The 25,709-nt window shown below is 49.7% G+C and overlaps 1 protein-coding gene across 6 annotated transcripts in view, besides 7 other annotated features; it reads right to left on the reverse strand.

Moving 5' to 3' along the window:
* Positions 1 to 25,709, reverse strand: part of EIPR1 (EARP complex and GARP complex interacting protein 1) — a 188,849-nt gene that overhangs the window by 74,589 nt on the left and 88,551 nt on the right. For 2 of the 6 annotated variants that reach the window (NM_001330530.3, XM_011510383.4), the window contains exon 4: positions 10,781 to 10,861. The exons of 3 other annotated variants lie outside the window; for them this stretch is intronic. In NM_001330530.3, the coding sequence (NP_001317459.1) occupies positions 10,781 to 10,861 (81 nt within the window). Of the gene's footprint in view, positions 1 to 10,780; positions 10,862 to 18,911; positions 19,009 to 25,709 lie in introns of those variants that run through there. One more of the 6 variants, XM_006711893.3, reaches the window with a different exon arrangement.
* Positions 867 to 3,520: an enhancer, noted in NCBI's record as "VISTA enhancer hs1385". NCBI's record gives its function as "enhancer in: hindbrain (rhombencephalon)[3/5] | midbrain (mesencephalon)[4/5]" and the evidence as "EXISTENCE:transgenic organism evidence [ECO:0001131][PMID:17130149]".
* Positions 867 to 3,685: a biological region, named in NCBI's record as "VISTA enhancer hs1385".
* Positions 2,211 to 2,948: an enhancer, noted in NCBI's record as "NANOG-H3K4me1 hESC enhancer chr2:3269540-3270277 (GRCh37/hg19 assembly coordinates)". NCBI's record gives its function as "activates a minimal SCP1, AML or CMV promoter by ChIP-STARR-seq in naive H9 embryonic stem cells {active_cell/tissue: H9 hESC(naive)}" and the evidence as "EXISTENCE:reporter gene assay evidence [ECO:0000049][PMID:30033119]".
* Positions 2,949 to 3,685: an enhancer, noted in NCBI's record as "H3K4me1 hESC enhancer chr2:3270278-3271014 (GRCh37/hg19 assembly coordinates)". NCBI's record gives its function as "activates a minimal SCP1, AML or CMV promoter by ChIP-STARR-seq in primed H9 embryonic stem cells {active_cell/tissue: H9 hESC(primed)}" and the evidence as "EXISTENCE:reporter gene assay evidence [ECO:0000049][PMID:30033119]".
* Positions 16,922 to 17,422: an enhancer, noted in NCBI's record as "H3K4me1 hESC enhancer chr2:3284251-3284751 (GRCh37/hg19 assembly coordinates)". NCBI's record gives its function as "activates a minimal SCP1, AML or CMV promoter by ChIP-STARR-seq in primed H9 embryonic stem cells {active_cell/tissue: H9 hESC(primed)}" and the evidence as "EXISTENCE:reporter gene assay evidence [ECO:0000049][PMID:30033119]".
* Positions 22,181 to 22,759: an enhancer, noted in NCBI's record as "H3K4me1 hESC enhancer chr2:3289510-3290088 (GRCh37/hg19 assembly coordinates)". NCBI's record gives its function as "activates a minimal SCP1, AML or CMV promoter by ChIP-STARR-seq in naive H9 embryonic stem cells {active_cell/tissue: H9 hESC(naive)}" and the evidence as "EXISTENCE:reporter gene assay evidence [ECO:0000049][PMID:30033119]".
* Positions 22,760 to 23,337: an enhancer, noted in NCBI's record as "H3K4me1 hESC enhancer chr2:3290089-3290666 (GRCh37/hg19 assembly coordinates)". NCBI's record gives its function as "activates a minimal SCP1, AML or CMV promoter by ChIP-STARR-seq in naive H9 embryonic stem cells {active_cell/tissue: H9 hESC(naive)}" and the evidence as "EXISTENCE:reporter gene assay evidence [ECO:0000049][PMID:30033119]".

Raw genomic sequence — 25,709 nt, forward strand, 5'->3', positions numbered from 1 at the left:
AGGATCTCCTATCCACATCACATCGCACCACCTAGGTGAGCCGGGTTCATGCAGCAAAAGCATGCAGCACAGTGCGGCCAGCGCCCTCCCCAGGAGGTGGCACGGTGCGGCCAGCGCCCTCCCCAGGACGCGGCACGGTGCGGCCAGCGCCTTCCCCAGGACGCGGCACGGTGCCGGACCCAGCTCCTCTGTCAGTTTCCTTGCCCCAGTAATAGCACACAGAGGCCTGGAACCCAGTATTTCCAGATGGCTCTGTGTCCCCAACAAATGATGCTGCAGCACCATTAACTTTCTAATTAAAAAATGCATATATTTATAGTAATGTTCTGATATGTGTATACATTGTGGAATGGCTAAGTCAAGCCAATTCATATTTGCATTACCTTACATACTTATCATTTTTTGTTGTGAAGACACTTGAAATCTACTCTCTTAACAATTTTCAAGTATATGATACATTGCTAATAACTTCAGTTACCATGATACATTGTTACTAACTGTGGTCAGCAAGACATCCAATAGATCTCTGGAACTCATTTCTCCCCTTAACTGAAACTTTGTATCCTTTCACCAACATCTCCCTTTTCCCCATCCGCCCTCCCGCCAGCCTCTGTTATCACCTGCTCTGCTTCTGTGACTTCAGTATTTTTAGATTCTGCATGTAAGTGAGATTGCGTGGTGTCTGACTCTCTGTGCTGGGTTTATTCCACTCAAGACCTCTAGGTTCATCCTGCTGCTGCGGATGGCAGGATTTCCTTCCTTCTTAGGGCTGAGCAATGCTCCATTTGTACCATGTTTCTTTATCCGTTCATCCGGCTCATTAGCACTGATGGATAGGCAGGCTGCTTCCTTATTGTAATGAATGTCCCAATCATCTTCAGCTTGCCATGCCCCAGAAGAACTGGATAAAGACTTTCCTGTGTACGGCAAATAAGGAAGCTCCAAGCACTGCTAGGGAAGTGTCAAAGGCAGGGGCCAGAGGAGGCTTCCTCCGGGCAGGACAGATGAAAAAAGGGAACTGCAGTGGGTAGAAGCATCAACTATGTTAGCCACGTGCGAGTTCACATGACACAAGAAGACAACCTCACCCCCATTCCTTTGCAAAACACTATGAACCAATGCTGTTTTTGTTTGTTTGTTTGTTTGTTTGTTTTGAGACCGAGTCTCGCTCTGTCACCCAGGCTGGAGTGACCATCTCGGCTCACTGCAACCTCCGCCTCCCGGGTTCAAGCGATTCTCCTGCCTCAGCCTCCTGAGTAGCTGGGATTACTGGTGCCGCCACCATGCCCAGCTAATTTTTGTATTTTTAGTAGAGACGGGGTTTCTCCATGTTGGTCAGGCTGGTCTCGAACTCCTGACCTTGTGATCCGCCCTCCTCAGCCTCCCAAAGTGCTGGGATTACAGGCTTGAGCCACCGCACCTGGCCCCAATGCATTTTTCTAAAAATTGGTAACTAAAATAAAATTAATGAAATGTCTAGTGTATGAAAAATTTACATAGATTTTCCAAAAGATTATAAAATTGTCCTTCTAGAATTTAGTCTGAAAATCTGGTGGGTACGAGGTGAGTTCAAAGTGCCTTAATAAAGTATGTGAACACCAGAAACCACCCTGAGGAAGACCAGAACATTAGAGGGGTGTGCAGGCAGGAGGTGTCTCTGGCATCGTCACCCAAAAAAATGAACGAAGCTGCACACGTTGCTGAGTAAGGAGTGTGCTTGGGGCTCAGGAAATACAGTTGGCATTCCTACCTCCAGAAACTCCACATCCTCAGAGGCAGATGAAATGGAAGGTAAACAGCACTAAGGAAGAAGCACCCATGGGGACATACTCATCAGCTCTGAAACTCTGAGGATTTCTGTAGCTGTGTGGATCCCAACAGTGTTCAACACACATCCAGCAGCCATCAAAGAAACTAAGGAGCTTTTAAGAAGGAAAACCTAATCTTTAGAAGGCAAATGCTGTTAATAAGCAGGGAGGCATTTCATCTTTTATCTATGTTTTTCACACGCTCCTGAACTGAGGTTCTGTAATGTAACTTCCTGTGCCGAATTAATATCACAATGACTAGGAGCCGGCAGAGGGCAGGGCTCAAGGCTGCCACATAAAACCAGACATATGGCACAAACCGCAGCAGCACTGCCCACAGAAACTGTGTCTGTGCCGACAGAAGTCAGAGAACCACACGATACCTAGGCTGAAAGGGAACTCCGATATCATGCTGAATGAACACAGCCCCTTCATTTCACAAATGAGGAAACTGAGGCCCAGTGAAGCCACTGACTTTTCCAAGTTCAAACAGCTCATTAGCGCTGATGTCCAGAATGAATGGAGCCTCCTGACTCCCATAACAGCCCCCTGCTTTGAAAGAGAAAATTCCAAGTTGCATCTTCAAAGCCAATTTGAAGCCACTACCTACTTTTCACATGTTAACACAAGAGCTCAAGGCCCTTAATGAGATAAAGAGATAATCAGGGCAAAATGAAGGGAGGGAGGCATATTCGCGACTGCCAACTGCAGCCACGGGTGTGCTGCCTGCTGGAAGGGATTACCAGGCAAAAGGCTTACAGGAATTCAAAGGAGATCAGAGCCTTTGTGAGCATGAATAGTAGCTCCAGTCAGCCCGGCTAAAGGGCGAACAATGCCCTGCCTGGGGGACATAATCTGATCCCCAGCTGGAGGAGGAGGAGGTTTCCAGGGCTGCATAAGCAGTACCTTAAGATGGGACTATTTTTAGAGCCCGCAGCCATCTCTGAGTCTGGCAGGAGCTGAGCAGGATGGATGAGGACAAATGACAGCCTCACTGGGCGCTCACCTGATGCAGGTACGCCTCGGGGTGCACAACAGGATGTCTGAAGATCTGGGCCTAAAAATACCTTCCTCGATGGCCTTTTAAATGCCTTAGGGATGGCACCATGTACAGATTGCATCGCCTGAGTGTGCAGGGGCAGAGACTGATTGCAGAAGGCGGCAAGGCTGATGAGCAAGACAAGGATGACACCAACTCTCTTATCCTCCAGGCACTGGTGAGGGGCACCCGCGCCTCTGACAAGCTCTGCTGGCCAGGAGGCAGCAGGAGGTGGTGCCAGCATCACAACAGGCTGCTGCCCCAACAGGAAGGGGGTGCTGAGAAGTGGAGGTGTCAGGGGCTCGCTGGCCGTGAGCTCCAGAGACACAGTGGGCACAAGCATGATGTGCCAATCAGAGCAGTCTAGCCCAGATGGAGCTGCAGCAGAGGCCAAGAGAGAAAAAGACAGGCAGGCTGCTCAGCCCCTACTCCACATGCCAGAAAGGCTCAGGACAGACAGAAAGCTGGCCCGATGACCACCGTGCAGAGGCGTGGCCTCTCTCGGCTCTTCACCTAAGCCAGCTCACAGGCCTATGGCCCCTCAGTTTAGGGGAACCCAGGTCCCCTTGGGGAAGGACCCGTGGCTATTTTATAGGAGAGCTGACCATGGGGAGAGGGAACTACCCCCACACCCTGAATCAATGCCAGTCCTACTGGACCCAACACATCACAGGATCTACGGCCAAGCAGGGACCCGGAAGCTGTGGCCCAAGTCCACCTCAGAGGGCCCAGTGGGGTCAGTGTATCCAACCTGCGGCTATTTCTCCAATCCCTGTATGTGTGTTGGAATAGGCAGACCTAGCACTGGCAGGACGACCACAGAGCACTCACTCCATGGCTACAGAGCCAATGATGACAGGAAGGACCAGAGGGATGCCCCGGGACATTCCCTCACCTGTGAAAATAGTCAACCAAAAGCAACACTGCAGTGTTGGTGGGATGGAGAGTTAGGAGCACCATGGAGGCTGTGAAAGGTGCTGGGTGCTGCCTTTTACCACACCCCACTAAACCCAGCTGTTTGGCCTGCGTCGCAGCAGCGGGTTCTTGGAGAATGACAGTGCATGATCATAAACTTAATCAGGCGGGCAACCCCAACTGCAGCTATTTCAGATACGCTGTTGTCACAGAGCATGTCTATACAAGAATGCAGGCCCTGGCTTCTGATATAAAGATTGAGCTAGCAATTTGGTCTCACACCGCCAATTTGAAGGGCCACCAGAAGCTATTTGCTGTTGCCTGGCAAGGCCAGCAGTGCCTGTTCACGTCCTGCTGCAGACCTACATCAAGACTCAGGCCTGGGGCCAACATGCTGTGCCCATCGGGCACATCTAGCCTGCACCCCATGAGCTAAGAGTGGTTCTGCATTTTTAAAGGGACATAAAAGGACACAGAGAAGAATATGAGACAGAGACCGAATGGCCTACAAAGCCTAAAATATTTACTCTCTGGCCCTTTAAGGAAGAAATCGGCTGGCTCCATCTACCTGTGCCAGTGACCCACTTGCCACCTCAGGTGCTGAAGGCGCCCTGCAGACCGTGCCCTGTGTAGCGCACAGACTGTTTGGCTGCTGTCCTTGGAGGTGAGCCCCCGTTCTCAGCCGAAAGCCCTGGAAGGAGACTGCAAGAGGCAGGGGCTTCCACGCCATGGTCCTGGAGTGGTTGTGAGTGTGTGCAGGGAAGCGTGGCCCCAGCACTGGGCCCTTGGTCCCTCTGTGACCCCACCACCTCAGCCTGGTGATAGCCTTTCCATGGGCCTCTCAATCCAGAGACTGGCACCCCAAGGCTTCCTGCCCACACCAGCTCCGGGAGGCCTGGGGCCCGCGCCAGCATCCTGGTTCCCTCTGAAGGCACCTGTGGGGCCTATCTGCACCCTGTCTATAGCCCAGAGGGTTCCCACACCCTCTGCACTCTCTGGGCACAGCATGCCATCAGCTGTGACCGCCCACTCCCCACCTGCACTCCAGAGGGCAGCCTCCTGCCAATCCAGCGACTGTGGACCAGCTCCAGCCTGGCCAAAGCAGCCACCTCTGCTGCACAGTGGGCCGAGGTCTGCGTCCCTCCAAGATGTTCCTTCCTGGGCTGTTCTTGCTCAGTCCTGGTGACCTGAGGGAGTTTCTTCACATCTGACGCCTGTGACTCTTCTACCACACTTAGCGCTTCTTTATACTAAACTTCCCTGTTTAACCTGCTCTGTTTCCACTTCCTGCCCAGACCAATACAGCCTGACCTCATCCACAAAGACCTCAATCACAGGGACAGAAAGCACACTAGGACAGCGCGCGCAAGGGGCCTGTTGACCAGGAAGCTTTGGGCACCTCAGATACCCAAACAACACAAGTGCACAGGGGTGGGAAGTAAGCCGGCTCCCCTTGGCTCGGAGAGGCTTCAAGCTCCGGTGATGTGGAGCAGGTGGGGGCATCTTCACCAACACGAGGCCGACTTTGGTGGGGCTTTTTGAATCTGGGAGGTAACATATGATACAAAGCCTACCTATGTCATATGGCAGGCTGTGAAGACCTGCATGGCCACTGGCACCCACAGTGTCAGGGGTGAACAAGCAGGCTGTGTGGGGCCTCTGGGAGGCCCACGGGAGAATCACAGGCCAGCTGCTGAGGTGTGGGAGGAAAGCAGTGTCCCTTCTGCAGGTAACTTCTCTCCTATCCGGACACAGTTCCTGGCTTCCCCATCTACTCCATCATGTGGGCATGCTGTACACTGAGCACTGCACATCCAAAAATGCGTGTGGTCTGATCATCAAGCCTTAAGCACAGACAGAAGCAGCAGCCACACTCAATCATCACACTCAATCATCGCACTCAATCATCGCACTCAGTCATCGCACTCAGTCATCGCACTCAGTCATGGCACTCAGTCATGGCACTCAGTCATGGCACTCAGTCATCGCACTCAGTCATCGCACTCAATCATCATCACACTCAGTCATCGCACTCAGTCATCGCACTCAATCATCGCACTCAGTCATCGCACTCAGTCATCGCACTCAATCATCGCACTCAATCATCACACTCAATCATCACCACACTCAATCATCACCACACTCAGTCATCGCACTCAGTCATCGCACTCAATCATCGCACTCAATCATCATCACACTCAATCATCGCACTCAGTCATCGCACTCAGTCATCGCACTCAGTCATCGCACTCAGTCATCGCACTCAATCATCGCACTCAATCGCACTCAATCATCACAATCATCGCACTCAATCATCACACTCAATCATCACACTCAATCATCACACTCAATCATCGCAATCATCGCACTCAATCATCACACTCAATCATCGCACTCAATCATCACACTCAATCATCGCACTCAGTCATTGCGTGGAAATCTCGCTTCGTCCAAACAAAATTGTGTTCAAGCAGGTCCTGAGGCACAGGCAGATGGCACAACTAGAGGCAGCAGATCCCTCTGCCCTTGGCGCAGCTGCATTGCCTCTGTTCTCCTGGGAAGCTCCCCAGCACGCGAATGAAGAGGAGCACCATCCCTCAGCTTGGGAGCACCAGCCCTTGGCTTGCACACAGCACTGCCTCATGAGCTGCAGCCACGGTAGGTGCTCCATGAAGAAATGTCTCTGACAACAACTGGTAAGGAGAAATCATACCAGGAGGCAAAACTCTGAGCAGGACACTTGGCTGTCCACATTGTCCAGATGGGCAGATGGGCAGAGATATGGATCTTTATTGATTTAGAGGCAGTAGCCTCCATTTTGCCCATATAACCAGGACTTGGAAAGCACAAAGCAGGGGTGAAACAAGGAGGGGATGTCAGGGCTCAGGCTGAGCAGAGTGCAAGCCCATCTGTGCCCACACGGGTGCTCGCTGCAGGGTCTCAGTTCCAAAGAGTCTCTCAGAAGACCTGCTCCATGGATGCCAACACTCCCGCAGAGGGCCTGGGGTGTGTCAGCGTGTGCCAGTGTGTGCTCTGCGGGGTACCTCCTCCAAGCTCCAGGTTCATTACCTTTTCCTTTTGCGTCTCCATGCGGCGGTGGTAGCTGCTTCCCATGGTAACTAAGATCTGTGTTTCCTCCCTGGATGAAATCCCCTCTTTCTGAAACACAGGCACACTTATTGCAGGCTTGGTTCTAGACCACCACAATAACATTAATATTGCAAAAAGAGAGTCATATTAATTTTTTGGTTTCCTAGTGCATGTAAAAGTTATGCTGACACTATAATGCAGTCAAGTAAGTGTCCAATAACATTATGTCTAAAAAACTACTGGGAATATCTTGATTTTAAAATACTTTATTGCTAAAGAATACTAACAATCACCTGAGCCTTCAGGGAGTTGTCATCTTTTTGCTGGTGGAGGGTTTTGCCTTAATGGCAAAACTGATGGCAGCTAACTGCTCAGGGTGGTGGCTACTGAAGGATGGAGTGGCAATGGCAGTTTCTTAGATAACAATGAAGTTTCTGCATCTATTGACTCTTCTTTTCATGAAAGATTTCTCTAGCATGTGATGCTATTTGACAGCACTTTATGCACAGTAGAACTTCTTTCAAAATTGGAGTCAGTCCTTTAAAACCCTAACACTGCTTTATCAACTGGGCTTATGGAATATTCTAAATCCTATGTTATTATTTCAACAGTGTTCACAGCATCTTCACCAGGAGTAGATTCCATCTCAAGAAACCACTTGCTTTGCTCATCCTTAAGAAGCAATTTCTCATCCATTCGAGATTGATCATGAGATTGTAGCAATTCAGTCCCATCTTCAGGCTCCACTTCTAATTCAAGTTCTCTTGCTATTTCTACCACAACTGCAGTTACTTTCTCCATGCAAGTCTTGAACCCCTCAAAGTCATCCACAAGGGTTAGAGTCAACTTCCCCCATTAACTTCCTATTAATGTCAATATTCTGACCACCTCCTATAAATCGCAAATGTTCTTAATGGCATCTAGAATGGTGAATCCTTTCTAGGTTTTCAATTTACTATGCCAAGACCCATCAGAGGAATCACTATCAGTGGCAACGACAGCCTTAAGACATGTATTTCTTAAATAATAAGACTTGAAAGTTGAAATTACTCCTTGATCCATAGGCTGCAAAATGAATCTTGTGCTAGCAGGCATGAAAACAACATTTGTTTCTTTGGTACCTCCCCTTCAGAGCTCTTGGGTGACTAGGTGCATTGCCAATGGGGAGTAATTTTCAAAAGAGTCTGTCTCTGAGCAGTAGGTCTCAACAGGGGGCTTAAAACATTCACTAAACCATGCTATGAACAGATGTGCTGTCATCCAGGCTTTATTGTTCCATTTACAGAGACTAGGCAGGGTACATTTAGCATCATTCTTAAGAGGCCTAGGTTTTTCAGAATGGTAAATGAGCATTGGCTTCAACTTAAAAGTCAACAACTCCATTAGCCCCTAATGAGAGAGTCAGCCTGTCCATTAAAGCTTTGAAGCCAAGCTTTGACTTCTCCTCTTTTGCTATGAAAGTCCTAGATGACTTATACTCTTCAAATATAAGGGTATTTCATTGACACTGAATATCTGTTGTTTAGTGTTCTGAAGTGTTCCCCCTTCATCAATGATCTTAGGCAGATCTGGAGAACTTGCTGCAGCTTCTCCATCAGCACTTGCTGCTTCACCTTGTACTCTTACGCTATGGAGATGACCTCTTTCCTCCAACCTCGTGAACCAACCTCTGCTAGCTCCCAACTTTTCTTCTGCAGCTTTCTCACTCCTCTCAGCCTTCATGGAATAAAGAGTGAGGGTCTTGCTCCGGATTAGGCTTTGGCTTAAAAGAATGTTGTGCATGATTTGGATCATCTATCCAGACCACTAAAATTTTCTCCATTATCAGCAAGAAGGCTGTTTGGCTTTCTTATCATTTGTGTGTTCACTGGAGTAGCACTTTTAATTTCCTTCAAGAACTTTCCCTTTGCATTCACAACTTGGCCAACTGGTGTGCAAGGCCCGGCTCTTGGTCTACTTCAGCTTTTGGCTGAAACTTGCCTTCCTCACTAAGCTTAATCATTTCTAGCTTTTGATTTAAAGTGAGAGATATTCCTTTCATTGAACACTCAGAGGCCATTATAGGGTTATTAATTGGCCTGACTTCAATAACGTTGTTCTCAGGGAACAGAGAGGCCTGAGGAAAGAGAGAGATGAGGAAACTGCCGGTTGATGGAGCATTCAAAACACACATTTACAGATTCACTTTGCCATCTTACATGGGCATGGTTCGTGGAGCCCCAAAACAATTACAATAGGAACATCAAAGAACACTGACCACAGAGCACCATAACAGATATAATAATGATGAAAAAATTTGAAATATTGTGAGATTATCAAAATGTGCCACAGAGTGGGACGTGCTGTTAAAGCTGGCACATGTAATTGAAAAAATGGGCCAATAGATTTGATGGACACAGGGTTGCCGCAAACCTTCAATTTGCAAAAGATACAACATCTGAGAAGCACAATAAAGCCCAGTGCAATACGATGAGGTGCGTCTGTATCTAGAGTGGTTTCTTGACCCTGACTGACAAACTCTCCTAGAATCTACACCAATGGCGACATCACCCACTGACATGAGTAATTCAGAGAACACAGTTTAGACTGTGCTGCTTTTGAGATGTCAAGAGCTATCTACGCGAAAACAGCTACTAGGCGGTTTGATATTGTTATGTGAAGCCCAGGGATGGAAGTAAAGGTTTGAGATTATTTTACTTTACAGTATCTTTATTCACATTCTCTTTCATGTATCAATAGATTCTAGGACTTTGGATTCTAGCAATACAGCTAATTCTGAAAAAACAAAATCATGCCTCTCTAAAATACTTAGATATATTTTTGAAGGCATAGCTGTGCTTTCAGGGAAGTGAAGAATACGACTGGGAGCAAATAGTAAAGCTGTTGTTGAAAACAAAATGATAAACCACGGTTAGCTACCCTTCATGCTTGGCCTCTGCTAGGAACCTAAAGGCCACAGATAGAACGGGAAAGTAAGCTTTTGGCCCACAAAAGGTAAAGAGGAGATACTAGGACCTCTGCAAAAACACAGGCTCCTTAAAACCCACAACCTCATTACACGAATGAGCTAGAAAACATTATTCTCCAGCTGGCATGCATAGAAAAATGTCACACACACGCAAAAAAAAACCCACTTGTTTATCTCAGCTATGGCTCTTATAAAAAATAAGAATCTACACTGAGAACCTGAAAACTGCACTGATCCTTACAAAAGTTTGACTTTGAATTTACTGGTGTGGTCCAGGAAATCCTAAGCCAAGAATCTAACTTAAAGAAGTCCTGGGTTTTGGGCCGCCCTGGACATTTTCCATAAACAAATGAGAATCGTCTCTGGAGGAATGCACCCACAGGCCAGCCCCTTGGAGGCCCCACCGACTTAGGGCAGCCTGATAGGAGCCTGTGACCCACGACAAACCCATGAAGACAGTGGCCTGAATGAGGGCAGGCCAAGAGAACAGAGCATTCCAATGACTTCAGATACTATAATCGCAATGTTCGAAGAAATAAAAGCTGGATTATGAGCAGGCAACAAAAGACTATCACAATTTACCAGGAATCTTCTTAAAAAAAATAATAAAGCATCTAGAAGTAAAAATCATGACTGTTGAAATAGAAGTCTCTGTTGGCAATTTAACAGCAGATTAGAAATAACTGGTGAGAATTAATCATTTGGAATAAAGATGTGAAGAAAGAACCTAGGACACAGCAGAGACTGCAGCGTGGGAATGTGGGAGATAGACTGAGAGGGTCCACTGTACCCTTAAGTGGGGTGCACAGGAAAAACAGAAAACAGCAGGCACAATATCAATAAACAAATTATCAGACTCAGGAGCACAACTATCTCCAAGTACCATAATTAAAAATATATCCACTCCTGGACACACTGTAGCACAAATGCAGAACACCAAAGACAAAGACAGAAACTTACAGGTTGCCAGTGCTATGAACAGTTGGGCAGCTGACTTCCCAAGAGCACCAAAGGAATCCAGAGACAGCACACAACAAAATGCTAGAAAAAAAGTCAGGGCAGAACTGTTCAGTCAGCTAAATACTCAAAAATAAAGGCATGTTAAGGTAAATCAAGCCATGAGACCCTACTTGGGGTATAAATAAAATATTTTTAAAACCATGAGAATTTACCTCCAAAAGCCTCACTAAGGGAACTTCTAAGGACATATTTGGAAAATAAAGAAAGTGATCCCAGAAGAAAGGTCTCAAATTCGAAGTTAAAAAAAAAAAATTAAGCGAAATAAATGGCAAAAATCTAGAAAACATCTAAATATGTGTGACACTAATGATAATAACAATATTTACTTTTGAGGTTAATAAAAATACCCAAAGGTAAAATTAAAATACTGGCCAACAAAGTATCTAAGATAGAAGGGAGATGAAAATAGATTTAAAAGCTTTTCATATTGTTGGAATAGAGAAATACTGAATATTTAATTTCAGATTTCATGTTAAATATGAATAACAACATGTTATCAGTAGAAAAAGAGCATATAACTTCTAAAATAATACAGTAAGAGAAATGGAGCAAAAACAAGATTCAAAATCATTTATGAGAACAAGAAAGGACCAAAACCCCCCAAAACAGCATAAAGTAAGATGAAAGAAAGTTGTACCAAAAAAAAAGTATAAAATAAGATGACAGGAATTATTACAAATAGATCAGTATTCACAATAACTATAAGGGACATCAGCTGGATATTGTTAGACTGAATTTTTTAAAAATCAGCAAAACATTGTTTACAAGACATATCCCTAAAACGTAATGACACAGGAAGGCAAAGAACAGAAAACACCACACCAAGCAACAAAAGAAAAGCTGATTTAGCCATATTAATATTTGCCAAAATAGATCTGAGCAAAAGCAGTAAGGGTCACCACTGAACAATACAAAGGTTCAGAAACACAAAAAATTCTAAACTTATATGCCCTCAATAAAATTACACCAAAACACATAAAGCAAAAATTGACAGAACAAATAAAAATAGAGGAATCCAATATCATAGTGGGAGACTTTAAATCTTTCAATAACTGATAGAACCAGTTAGAAAAAAATTAAAATAGCAAGGTTATAAAAGATTCAAACACAACATAATTTTTTTCTCAAGTGTAAATGCAACATAAAAATTAATCCATACGATATACCATTAAAAATCTCAATATATTTCAAAGAATTACTATTAAACAATCATATTCCTTTTTTAACTGACATCCCCCTTTTATGGAAAAGAGACTCCATATCAACATCAGAATTTCTAAAAACCACCAAGAGAGAATAAAAGATTAGGAAAAAGTTGCATCTTCACAATAATACATCCTTGTGAGAGGCAGCAAACAATGGCTAAATGTGAAAAGGCAAAATTGAGGATGTGCTGAAATCCTACAGTACAAACACTACTAAGTTAAATTATCTAGCTGCCAAAGACTATACACTCAAGAAGATTATTATAGAGGTTACAGGAGAAAATTGCTACCATGACAGCTGAGTAACTTGCCTCAGGTCCCACAACTGCTAATGGCAGAACAAAAAGAGAACTCAAGGCTTTGGACTCAAAGTCGACTGTATTTTTCTACTCTATTGCATCCAATGTACCAATAACCTTAAGCAAATAAGTATTTTAAAAATTTACAAAACAGTAGGGTAGGCAATGAAAGGACACCACTAAAGTGAAGAAACCATTCAATTTCATAGGCATTGCTATGAAACACAGATAAATTGTCAAGATAAGTGTACTCGATTTTTAGAAATTACCATTTAGGGTGAAAATCAATCTAAAGTGGACTGTTTACTTCCTTGCTGTTGCAAATGCTATATCAAAAAACTTCTAAAAATTATTCTTTGACGATTTATTGGTAACATAATTAGCTATTCTGGTGCATAAATATTCATCTCCAGACAGAGAACGGATGATGTGGGAGCCCATGCTGAATAAATACTTTTATCCACAGCTCTGAAATTTCCTTTCATGAAAAATATTGCTTTTATAATTTTTTCTTATAACATGTAAGAGATAAACTACAGCCAGTTTAGCTGCAGTCTTTCTGCAAGATTGCTCTTCTAACGTGGTCAGGAGTCCAGCCACCATGTTCTTTCCTGCTGCACCCAGCACCCTTGGGCCACCACACAAAGCTGGGTGTCTTCCTGCTGGTTTGGGAGCACAGTGGCCCATGTGCCACTCGGTCTCATACTGTGGCCAGCTCAAGTCCACTACCTCCATGTCAACTGGTTTTGAAAAAGTATAAATATGGCTGCTCTTCCGCATCCCTAGAATTATGCTAGGATGCTTTGGAAAGGTTTCCTCTAGATCTACAGATGTAATTTACCAGCGGATGGCGTTTTCAGTGGATGTGCACTGGGTTCACAGTTTTCTCTAAGTTCTGGTTGTTTTAATAAGGAACACAACTCTAAGCATGAGTAATATTAAAAATAATAGCATCCATATGATTAGGTTAAAATGCAAACACCTACAATGATAGATTAATTTACTGAAATTTCTAAATTTACACTTTATGTTTTGAGTAATGCCTTAAACCATGAGACAAGTCACCAGGGAGCAAACCTGTTTGTCAGTTACGGGTACTGTGTAATCCAATACTCTAATTAAAAACGTAAGAGAAAGAGAAGGTACCAGGAAAACTCGGGTGAATGTACGAGGAAGTCTCAGTAAAAACAAGTTATTCAAAAACCCTGCCCATTTAGAGGCAGGCAAAACAAAGTGCAATGTTGGGGGAGAAACCACAGAAATCCAGGAGCCTCTCCACCCACGCGGCCCCACACCTGTCTCCACCCACACGGCCCCGCACCTGTCTCCACCCACGCGGCCCCACACCTGTCTCCACCCACGCGGCCCCACACCTGTCTCCACTCACACGGCTCCACACGTGTCCTCTGTTCTCCATTCAACGCATTGAAACTACAACTGGAAACGGTAGAGGACATTTCTGGGAATAATTTACATAAGAAGGGTGATTTACATGCGGGATACTCAGGTCTGCAGAAATGCCTTGACCCCATGTCAAAGATGAACAGCTTCAAAACCTTACCAGGTGATGGGTGGCAAGACCATTCTGCAAACATTTACTTCGCCCTGCCTGTGTGGCCTTCACCTACGTGCTTTACAAATAAGAACTCACTTACCCGGTGAACAACCCCAGGCCGTGGGAACTACTCCCCGGGGTGTTCATCTGGTTCCTTTTCTCATTAATTAAGTGACCCACCTGACTAGGCTGAGTAACGCCCACCTGCTACTCTAAGGAGCCCGGGGCATGAGTGGGGGTCCCTGCCAGGCGCTGCCTGCAGTCGGCCGTATCTCAGCCCCTACCCTCCATTTACTTGTTGCGCAGCCTCGGCTAGGGGCCCTGACTGCTGCGAACATTGCTGCCCCATCTGTGCGTCTCTCAGGCTGAGGTGAGCATGGAAAGGAGCTACATGAAAAGGCGTGTTTCACGGTGGACTTGAGCCCTTGGACGGCACTAACCAAGCGGCACTTCCTCGGCCCGTCCCTGCGTTCTCCAGCCATTCATGGAATGAGGGGGCACAAGCCAGTCAGGGCTGCACCAGCACTCCCATTTCAGGGCCCCAGCCCACCCTGTGCTCCCAGGCCTCCCTCACTAGGGAACTGCCCTTCCTAATCATCCCTGGGAATAACAGGAGGGTCTGCACCTGTGGTTGAACTTCACCTGGTCCCACCACCGTCCCCAGGCTCACTCAGTCTGTCTGTGGGGACTCCAGGTACGAGGCACAGGCCCCAGAGGCCCAGGGGAGTCTGAGATGGAAACGAGAGGAGGGGGAGACGCAGGTGGATGGCAAAGGCCACCTGCATCCCTGCATCCTGCCCCATCAGCTGCTGCCATCCACACCACATGCAGACTGTGGTTGGTGCCACTGCCCACATGCCCTGCCCTTGGACCATGGGCCCCATGCTGCCCAACCAGGAACCTCCTCCAAGCTACCACTTCTCTGCAGGAGCCAGGGGAACCTGCCTTTAACCTGTGGCCAGCCAGCCCTCTGAGAGAGTACCCTCCCTCCGTGCAGAGCTGCTCTGCCCAGGGCACCATCTCTCCTTAATCCAAGCCCTGTCCTCCCCAGTCCCCACAGCACCCTGGCAGGAGCAGGCTGGGAGGCAGCCAGGCCCAGCTCACCCTCTTCCTTCCTCACGACTTCCGACCCCTGAGGTTGGCCTGGCCTGGCCTGCTCTACCGGAGGCTCCACTTGTGGCCATTTCTTTAAGGGGAGGGGCCTTCCCCTCCAGCTGAGTCCGCTTCAGGGCCCCCAGACCATCAGCGAGGTCGGCCCACCTCCAAAACCCAACTACATACAGGATTCAGGCAAGCCCGGAAGATCAAGCAGATGGAAGGCCATGTCTGCCCCAGCAACCCCATAACTGGCAACCCCATAAGCCCCACAGAGGCTGCCCTGTGCAGGGAGGAGGTCACGGGGGGCACTGCCCAACCTCCCGCCAGCCCATTAGCCTCACCTCCAGCCAACAGAAGCAATCTGGCAGACAGCATAAACCTTGGTTGATACGTGAGTTCACCTGTGCTCTGAGTACATCGAACCATTTTTTTATGCCTACAGAAGGAAACAGTGACATCTGCTTGACATCAAACTACTTTCTGGACAGTGACTCGACACCCATGTTCTCACTAAAACAGGAAAATGTGGGTTTGCCAGCATTTGCTAAAGCAAATGTGACACACAGCACTTTAGGAGGTAGTTTTTAAAAATCAGCATTATACACCTCGCAACCGATCATGTCAGAAATTAATTAACACCCCTCACTCCAAAAAATCTTCATCCCTTCATTCTTTGGAAATCTGATGATTTTCTGACTGATGTAATTAGGTTTCCAATATTTTTTCCCACACTGGAATATCAAAAACACTCTCTTATAAAAATATTCAATCAATTTATCTGTAAAAACATATTTGTCAGTAAATACTGGGAAGAGGTCGGAATAGTCTGTCACCTTGAGCCCAGCGAGGTAGCGTAGGATACAGGGATGCAGGGCCAAATGGACATCATACCAGGCAAGGTCGGAATCCCCGCTTGTGGCCTGCTGGCTGGGATCCTGGGCAAGGTGTCACTTACAATCCCTAAGCCTCAGTCTCCCCAGCTGCAAAATGTAGACAGATACCAATGCTTCTCTTCTGGGGATTTTTAAAATAATAAATGAGATGGAAATGAATGCACATATCATGCAGCCTAAGAGATAAGGTAGACACTCAACAGAAGCGAGTTTAAAGAAGGTATGGAATGGTGAATGCCCAGGCACGAGGGTCGGGACAGCGGCCTGCTCATCTGTGCAACTGCAGGAGGCTGCTCCGCTGACCTGACGCGCAGAGCTGTGAGGTGAACCAACACCATGATGCGAAGTTACACACAACCCAGGAAGTTTAGGTGTGTTCCATCACATGCCAAACGATTCACTGGAATCAAACACCTCTCACTTATATCCACGTCTCTGGCTAAAAAGAAGTAACAGGACCTCATCCTCTTACTAGTCACCGCAGCGCAGCCTGGAGCCTATCAGCTGCAGTTTTGCAAGTAGCTTTTTGTAAGGACGGAGAAAAGAAAAATAAATGTTACTATTTATCTTTCTATTTTTATGTATTTGTATGATTTCTATGGAGCCCATTCTGGTTCACCATTTTCTTGTAATCACCTTAGAAGAGGAAAGGGATGTGTTGTGGTTTATGCCTTTCCGATTCTTTAACTGTGAGAAAAAAGGGGAGATGCAGCAGTAATTCCAAAACACTCTTCCTTCCACACTGACCGCCCTGCTTAGCCCCTTTAAACCTGAGTCCGGAGCCTCACAGGTTGCAAAGCACCGTGGTGGTTACCCACAGCTACAGACAAGTCGGCAAAACCTTAAGGAGGCTCCACGCTCCCTCACGCACACAGAGGAACTCGGACCCGGTCTCCCAACTCCTCGCCCGGCCTCGTTCCCATCCTCCAGGTGCCTCGAGGCGGCATCTCAGGCTTCACACGAGCCACACCCTGGCATGAGGAACAGGATGGGCCGCGGGTGAGTGGCCCTGGGAAGACTGGCCCCGCCTCTCTGCTTGTCTCCCCCAACTTGAATCTAACCTGCTCCAGGGGAAGAGGGGCTCTGGCCAACTCGCTCACAACCCTGACCGCGCCTGCAGATGGGAAGGGCTCAAGGCTGCGAGCAAACGAGGTTGCCTTGTCTAAGTCAGCTACAAGTATCCGCTCTGATTTTAACATCAGCAGGCCTGTTTTGTTCAGGGGAAGCTCTTTCCTTCACTCCCATGAGAGGCCACTGGCATGGCTTCCACAATATGGCTCCTAGAGGTGATGGCACCCAGAGGGACATGGCCAGTGCCACAGTGAAAGCTGTGCCTTCCAGCGCACTCAAGGAGAGGCAGCTCCTCTCAGCCTCAGGACATGAGAAGCTGCATGCCCAGGTTAGAGGTCTGAGCACAAGCAGCCAGTGCCACCCGCGCCTCCTCCTGTGGTCATTTCCAGGAGCCGCCTGTGCAGCTGCTGCTGCTGGACGCTCTTCCTCCCCTTGATCTCCCTCCTTCTGGTGACTCATCCCTGTACCTGGCCTCCAGCTTGGGGTGCTGTCTCCTACGTGGTCCTCTAGGAGAACCCAAGCACCATACCCACCCCCATCCACATAAAGCCATGTTCCCTGGGCACAGCACCCTGTCCTTGCCTTCATGGCTGGAATGCACACCACACTCCCTGGTCTTTCGGTACTCGAGGTCTGGCTCACACAGTTGAGTGGACACAAACATCCACTCAACAACTTGGAAATCAGGGAAGTCAGATTTCTCTTCTTGGCCCAAAAGTGCCCTCTGGTTGTGGTGGCTGGGACCTGCCCTCCTTCTCGGTGTCCCTCCAGGAAGGCTGGAGATTTGTTTACAGAAATCCAGTGAGCGTGCACATTTCCTGAGAACATAGGGCGAGTTAGTGAGCACTTCTCAAAAGTCAGAAGTCTTCATTATGAAAGGTAAACAGATCCAGGGATTAGGCGCCTGGGAATACTTACATCTGTTTCATGAAAAGGTAAAGCAAAGCAAAACGATGGAAAAAGGCACATAAAAGAGAGCAACTGGAGTGGTGAGATGAAAAAACTGAGGAAAAATCTGGAAATTTAGTCAGCGGCTCCAAAAAGTCACTATTATCACACAGTGCTCATGAGCAACACCCACGTATACAGGAACGCGTGCCTGGAAGGGCTCAGTAGATCGAACTAGCTCCCTTCAGACGGTCAAGGCGGAAACAGCATTGACATTCATTATGTTACAATGTGGAATATGCCAAATATTCTTATTTTTACCTGTCCAACCATCCCAAATTAAAATTTTATGTTGAAACTTGATTCTGAAATAAATTATTTGGATTTTCCATATCTTTTCAAATGTAACTGTGTTTATTTCAAATTCCTATAGATCAGAGAGAAAAAACAAACAAAAAATAGTTTTAACAAAATGAGAGATTAAAACCAAAGTTTCTGCGGGATGATAGAGACCCTTTTTAAGCACTAGAGGGGCTCACATGAATGGAACTGAGTGTTAGGTGGAAATACCAAGTTCAAATGCCAGGATGCTTTAAAAGGGGCACTGCGTACGTGGAAATGAGAATTTTATATTCAATGCCACAAAAAAAGCTCACTGATGAGAGCCAGTTGGTGCAGCCGTCAAGTGAAGGAGGAATCCCTGCAAAGATCAAATAAGTAAGTTTATGAAAATTCTAGGACAAACCAGCCAACAGGAGAGCCAAGTCAGCTCCCTGCTGGGTTGGTGTCGGCAACCATCACCAGCCCCGGGCCACCGTCAGGTGGGGGCACTGCCCCTCTGTGCAGCTTGCACAGAGGCCTGAAGATGGACAGCTCTGCGGACATGGCTAGCAGCTGCCCTGGACTGAACATGCTTTTACCCTCAGACCAAGTGGTGAAATCTGTCTTTCCAGCCTTTTGTGTGGAAAAAACAAAAAACACAGCCCCACAGACTTCAATGAGCCCGGCACTTCCTTTCTTGTGTTCCCTCGTCACTCCCTCCCACCTGGTGCATAAACATACCCAGATTGCGGTCTCTGTCTCGTTAGTCATCCCGTTCATTCCCTCATGTTTAACCTTGAAACCCGACTGCCAATGCACTGACATCGGTGCCTACAGACGGCCGCACGGGCTGCTGCGCCGGCTCCTGGCAGGGTGTGTGCTTTGATGGGCTCTGGGGGCAGAGCCAGCTGGCGGCGGCAACTCCGTTGCCCAGGGAACAGCCATTGAAGTGTGCGCTCCCGAGTCTGCACCAGGCCGGCGCCTGTCGCGGTGCTGGCTGAACCTCGGCGCTGCAGGGGCTGTGCCCGGCGGGTGCCCATTAGTGCTCTCCGTGCTCCAGGAACAAGGAGCAGGTCCAGAGGCCCCGCTCTTCCCACTGACAAACGGGCTTGGTTTGCTGCCTTATTAATGACTACGCCACTCTCACCACCCAAACAAAATGCACAGAGTAGGAGGAAAGAATTAGCTTCGAGGAGGTGCTCTTACTATTTTTAGACAATGCCTGTCAGCTACAGAGCAGCGGAATAGCCCTGAATACCTAGGGGTGATCTGTCCTTTTACTTAATGCAAACTCTGCTTTATTTTGCTTATTTATTCCATTTTCAGTGCCCCCCAACCCAATTTAGTCTTCCCTGTTTTTGCAGTCCTCATTTGGAGAATATATGAAACATACCAGTCCTTGCCACTTTGAGGAATCAGGGGAAGGCCAGCTGCCCCAACCCTTGGCTCCCACTGCCATCACAGTGATGAGGCTCTCCTGGGGCAGGGACATCCTAAGAGGGTCCATGCAGCAAATGCACCTCTCAGCACCACCACGCTGGGCTGGCCTCCTCCCCACACCAGCAGCATGGCGCACTGGTCCGAGCAGCCAAGTAACACTGCGCCAACAAACATGGAGGCACCCGAGGGGCTGCGAACCACCAGGCCCACCTCCTGCCCTGACCACCCCTCCTAGCAGGTGGCGGGGCCACTCCTATCTCCTCACTCTGCAACCCAAGCTGAGGGGGAAGCTGCTGCCTCCGCATTGCCTGCAGTGGCACAAGAGGACTGAGAAGGAGCTCACGCCCAGAAGTGATGCACCACGTTCACACCCCGGCACACTGGCCAAAACTCGCCATGCCTTCCCCCAGCTGCAAAGGACGCCCAGACGGGCAGGAGAGCCAGATACCAGCGAGCACCACTAGTTAAAGAGGGGAAGAAAAGAAAAGGGAAAACTGCTGGGCACAGAGGCTCCAATCTAATCCCAGCACTTTGGGAGGCCAAGGCAGGTGGATCATTTGAGGTCAGGAGTTCAAGACCAGCCTGGCCAACATGGTGAAATCCCATCTCTACTAAAATACAAAAATTAGCCGGGCGTGGTGGCGGCTGTCTGTAAATCCCAGCTACTCAGAGGAGGCTGAGGCAGGAGAATCACTTGAATTCCAGAGGCAGAGGATGCAGTGAGCCAAGATTGCGCCATTGCACTCCAGCCTGGGTGACAAAGCGAGACTACATCTAAAAAAAAAAAAAAAAAAAAAGAAAGAAAGAAAAAAAGAAAAGGGAAAACAACCACCTGAGGATGTGCGAGGGAGCGGTGCAGAGGCCCAGGGCTGTCTCCCCAAGACGCAGGCCAGGAAGCAGACGTGCAAATGGGAGAGCCCACAGGCACAGAAGGCCGCGGCACGGCTGCAGGTAAGGTGGGCACATGGAGATGGGGCCGGAGGCCGCCCACAGGCACAGAAGGCCGTGCCACGGCTGCACGTAAGCTGGGCACATGGAGATGGGGCCGGAGGCCGCCCACAGGCACAGAAGGCCGCGCCACGGCTGCACGTAAGCTGGGCACATGGAGATGGGGCCGGAGGCCGCCCACAGGCACAGAAGGCCGTGCCACGGCTGCACGTAAGCTGGGCACATGGAGATGGGGCCGGAGGCCGCCCACAGGCACAGAAGGCCGCGCCACGGCTGCACGTAAGCTGGGCACATGGAGATGGGGCCGGAGGCCACCCACAGGCACAGAAGGCCGCGCCACGGCTGCACATAAGCTGGGCACATGGAGATGGGGCGGGAGGCCGGGTCTTGAGCAGTGTGCAGACCACGGACAGTGGTGCAGAAAGGGAAACAGAACCCAAATGTACTCAATCTCTATTATGTGCCTGCACTTTGCATTCTTCAGCCCATCTAATGTCACTCCACAAAGCAGATGTTATTTCCATTCTGTTGATGAGAAAAGTCAGGGGCAGAGAACGGTTCACTTCTCAGGATACAGTAACTCAAATGGAGCCAGGATTCCAACTCGAGTCTGCCCAACTCCAAATCCATTTCCCCGTGTCATTATCCTGCCTTTCCGCTTGTGGCAGGAAGGAGCACACAGTTGGGAAAGGGGGGCCCGCCAGCAGCAGAGTCAGAGGAAGAGAAGGTGGCTGCGAGAGGACAGAGTGCAGAGGCCCCGGGGTAGATCGTGGTGAGGTCACTGTGAGAAGGGAAAGCGGGTGTCAGAACCACGTGACCCAGCAACTCTCCCCAAGAAAGAAGAACAGACGTGTAGGTATGGATCTTCAATACAGCATTGTACAAGGGCAAGATAGTGAAAGTCAATGTCCCCCAATGGAGAAGTGGTTAAATACACAGGGACACGTCAGACCACCATGGAAAATGTCCTCGTGAAAGATGGCTGCTCACTCCATCTCAGGGCAGGCCGGACAGTCCCCCGAGGTCAGCGAGCCTGTGGCCCTCACTGCCTCTGTCTCCACACAAACTGGAGACACCCAGCCCAAGAGGAAGAACCTGGGACAGGGCAGGGGAGAAGCAGGCTCCAAGCACACCCTGGAGCAAACCTCAAAGTCAGGGCTGGGGTCAGAATGGGGGCCAGGAAACAGAGCCAACACCCTCCCACCCCCCCACCCCCACCCCCACCCCCCAGGTCCCAGCTGTGGTGGACGGGAGCAGCAACACCCACCGCCTGCCCAGCTGCAGCGAGCGAGCACTGGCCACGGCCTCTGCTTCTATCAAGGCTCAGGGCCAATTAAACACTGAGCGTTGGGGACTGAGCACTTCTAGCTTCAAAACAGGAGTTTGCTTGTTTTCTTTCAGAAGTGCTCCATAAGAATTAAAGTGTTGGAGTCCAAAGAAAGCTCTGCCGACCACATGGAGGCAAAGCTCAGGAGGCACTGGTGGAGCCTCAGCTTCTGATGCTGCGCAAGAGTTACTAACACATGGAGCAGAAGTCACCGATGTCTCCGGGACCCTCGCACGGAGCAGAAGTCACCGACTGTCTCCGGGACCCTCGCACGGAGCAGAAGTCACCGACTGTCTCCGGGACCCTCGCACGGAGCAGAAGTCACCGACTGTCTCCGGGACCCTCGCACGGAGCAGAAGTCACCGACTGTCTCCGGGACCCTCGCACGGAGCAGAAGTCACCGACTGTCTCCGGGACCCTCGCACGGAGCAGAAGTCACCAACTGTCTCCGGGACCCTCGCATGGAGCAGAAGTCACCGACTGTCGCCGGGACCCTCGCACGGAGCAGAAGTCACCGATGTCTCCGGGACCCTCACTTTGGAAGCAGTGCCCTGCCCTGAGGACATGGGGCAGCCGGCTGTAGGTGTTCCAGCTGTGGCTCCATCTTCCTAGCTGAGAGCCAATGCCAGCTGCAGCCACTGGGAGTGAACAAACCTTCCCAGGACTCCAGCTTTTTCCAGCCAAGCCCCCAGGCACATGGAGCAGACACAAGCCACACCTGCTATCCCTGCCTGATTCCCCACCCTCAGAACCCATGAGCAGCACAAAAGGTTGTTTTTATGCTAATAAAAAAAAATAGGTTGGCCTCATTTACAAACCCAGGGTGATTCGACAACTGCCGTCACCGTGCCTGCCTGTGTATGACGTGTACACACACTGCTCCTGTGTAAACGTGTGGCCGTGACATGGCCTCCGTTCAGCTCCAGGTGTCAAGTGCCAGATTCCAGGAAGCCCCAGGAGTGGGCCCAGAAGGAGCAGTGCCAAGGACCCCCGGGGGTGGGGCCATCCTACCAGGCATGTCCTGGGCACATGGGAAGACCGAGAGGTGAGGGACACTTGGTGTCCGTGACAGGGAAAGGCTGAGGCATCAGGCTTCGGGCTGTGTCTACCTTGGTGACTCTGGAAGCGTTTTCATAAGCACTTGTCATATGTCATATGCAGTGTGCTCCAGGGGAGCAGGGGATCTCACAGTCCAGAGTGCCCCGCAGAGCACCCGAGACAGCGGCTGGCAGAGCACAGGCAGCAATGCCCCAGAGGAACAAGCCAGCCCCTGCGTCCCCACGTGCTGAGTCCATCCTCCCAGCAGCTCCAAGAGGCGGAGCTATCAATTTCACATACAGACAAGGAAACCAAGGCTTGGAGAGTTGAAGCCACCGTCCAAGAACACACCAGAGTGCCAGCCGGCAGAGGGGGCTGTGGGGAGCACACAGAGTGCCAGCCAGCAGAGGGGGCGGTGGGGAGCACACAGAGTGCCAGCCGGCAGAGGGGGCGGTGGGGAGCACACAGAGTGCCAGCCGGCAGAGGGGGCGGTGGGGAGCACACAGAGTGCCAGCCGGCAGAGGCGGCGGTGGGGAGCACACAGAGTGCCAGCCGGCAGAGGCGGCGGTGGGGAGCACACAGAGTACCAGCCGGCAGAGGGGGTGGTGGGGAGCACATCACACCTAGACCCAGCTGCAGCACCAAGCTCGTTCACCACGCTCTAGAAAACTCATTCAACATGTTCCACAAAGCTCGTCCACCACACTCCAGAAAGTTCGTTCACCACGCTCCAGAAAGCTCGTTCACCACAATCCAGAAAGCTCGTTCACCACACTCCAGAAAGCTCATTCACCACACTCCAGAAAGCTCGTTCACCACACTCCAGAAAGCTCGTTCACCACACTCCAGAAAGCTCGTTCACTGCGCTCCAGAAAGCTCGTTCACTACGCTCCAGAAAGCTTGTTCACCACAATCCAGAAAGCGTGTTCACCACGCTCCGGAAAGCTCGTTCACAATCCAGAAAGCGCGTTCACCACACTCCAGAAAGCTCGTTCACCACACTCCAGAAAGTTCGTTCACCACACTCCAGAAAGTTTGTTCACCACGCTCCAGAAAGCTCGTTCACCACAATCTAGAAAGCGCGTTCACCACGCTCCAGAAAGCACGTTCACCATGCTCCAGAAAGTTCATTCAGGCTCCAGAAAGTTCGTTCACCACGCTCCGGAAAGCTCGTTCACCACAATCCGGAAAGCGCGTTCACCACGCTCCAGAAAGCTCATTCACCACGCTCCAGAAAGCTCGTTCACCACGCTCTAGAAAGCTCATTCACTATGCTCCAGAAAGCTCATTCACTATGCTCCAGAAAGCTCATTCACCATGCTCTAGAAAGCTCATTCACCATGCTCCAGAAAGCTCATTCACCATGCTCCAGAAAGCTCATTCACCATGCTCCAGAAAGCTCATTCGGCATGCTGTAGCCCCTATGTACCCAGGCGGTGGAGGGGCCAAGGTCGTGTGCAGAGGGTACTGAGTAAGGAGTAGGCTGCCTGCACTAAGGGGTAATTGCCATGAGAGCTCCTCGTGGCCCCTCACAGGGTTCCCCTCTCCTCCCCGTGGCCCGAGTCTGCTGTAGGTAAGGTTGTCGCAGGGTGCATCCTGACGGGGTGGCATCCTGATGCGGTGGCGTCATGGCAGATGAGAGCAGCGGGTGGGGCAGGGCCACAGTCTCCCGCCGCCACCTGGGGCCTTGGCACATGCTTGTCCTGCCACCCTTCAGATGCTGCTCTGGAAGCAGGTGTGCTATTTCCAAGCCCTGCCTCTCTGCTAGCCTGGAGGTCTTCCAAAACGCAGGCCACCCTCATACCTCATTGAAACACTGAACCCAAAGCAAGTTTTGGGACTCTAGCAGTTTAGGAAATTGTCATTGAAACTATCCAAGTTCTTCGAAAGTGACCACAGGGCGAACAAGGAGGTGATGTGAAATACCACGTTACAGCTGAACATGAGTCTCACGTGGCTGGGGCTGCTGGGGTGTCCGGAAAGTTCTTTTGCTTCTCTGACAGGTGGCAGAGTAAAAGACAGTTATTAATGATGTAAGAACACAAGCCAGGAAGAAAAGCACTTCTGAGGACAAAACCAGGGTGTCACTGTGGCCCTTACAGGGCAGATGCGGCCTGGAATCTGTTGCTAAGCAACAGCCTTCCCAGTTCCTCGGGCATCAGAGGGTGGCAGCTGCTGGACTTTGCCAAACGTGAAGATCCCGAGACAAGCCCAACCTTCCATCAAGACCAGGAAACACTGCTCAGCAGGCACGGTCAGACATGGCAGCATCAGATGGCGCATGGCCTGGGACAGAGGACAGACGCGCAGCACGCAGCAGCCATGATACAGTGGGAGTGGGGATGAAACCAGATTCTGGTGCACCAGCCATTCCTGCATGGGATGGGTAGGAGGGCCAGGTGATGGCCTCGGCAACGCCCACAGGCCCCAGCAGCCCTGGCCCCCTGGGCAGCCACAGGCCCCCAGCGGAGCCCCACCCCGCACACAGCCTCCAAGTGCCTGCACGGCCGTATCTCCCGCAATTAAAATGCAGGCTTTCAAATCCATGACGCTCACGCACTGCTCAGCTTTCTGGAGTTTTAATTGCCCATTTGCTTTCTTCCTAGGCAACAGAACTGCTCTATTAATATCTCCCCACCGGTTTCAGGGGAGAGGGGAGACAAGCGAGGATTTGTTTCTGTATTAATTGGCAAACCTCTTTGCCGCCTGCTTCCTGGACCTCTCAGGGCTCGCTCTTCCTGTCTCTTTCTTCTCAATCATTTCGCTGTCTCTCTCTTCTCTCTGGG

Source organism: Homo sapiens, chromosome 2, assembly GCF_000001405.40.
Source record: "Homo sapiens chromosome 2, GRCh38.p14 Primary Assembly".
NCBI lineage: Eukaryota > Metazoa > Chordata > Mammalia > Primates > Hominidae > Homo > Homo sapiens.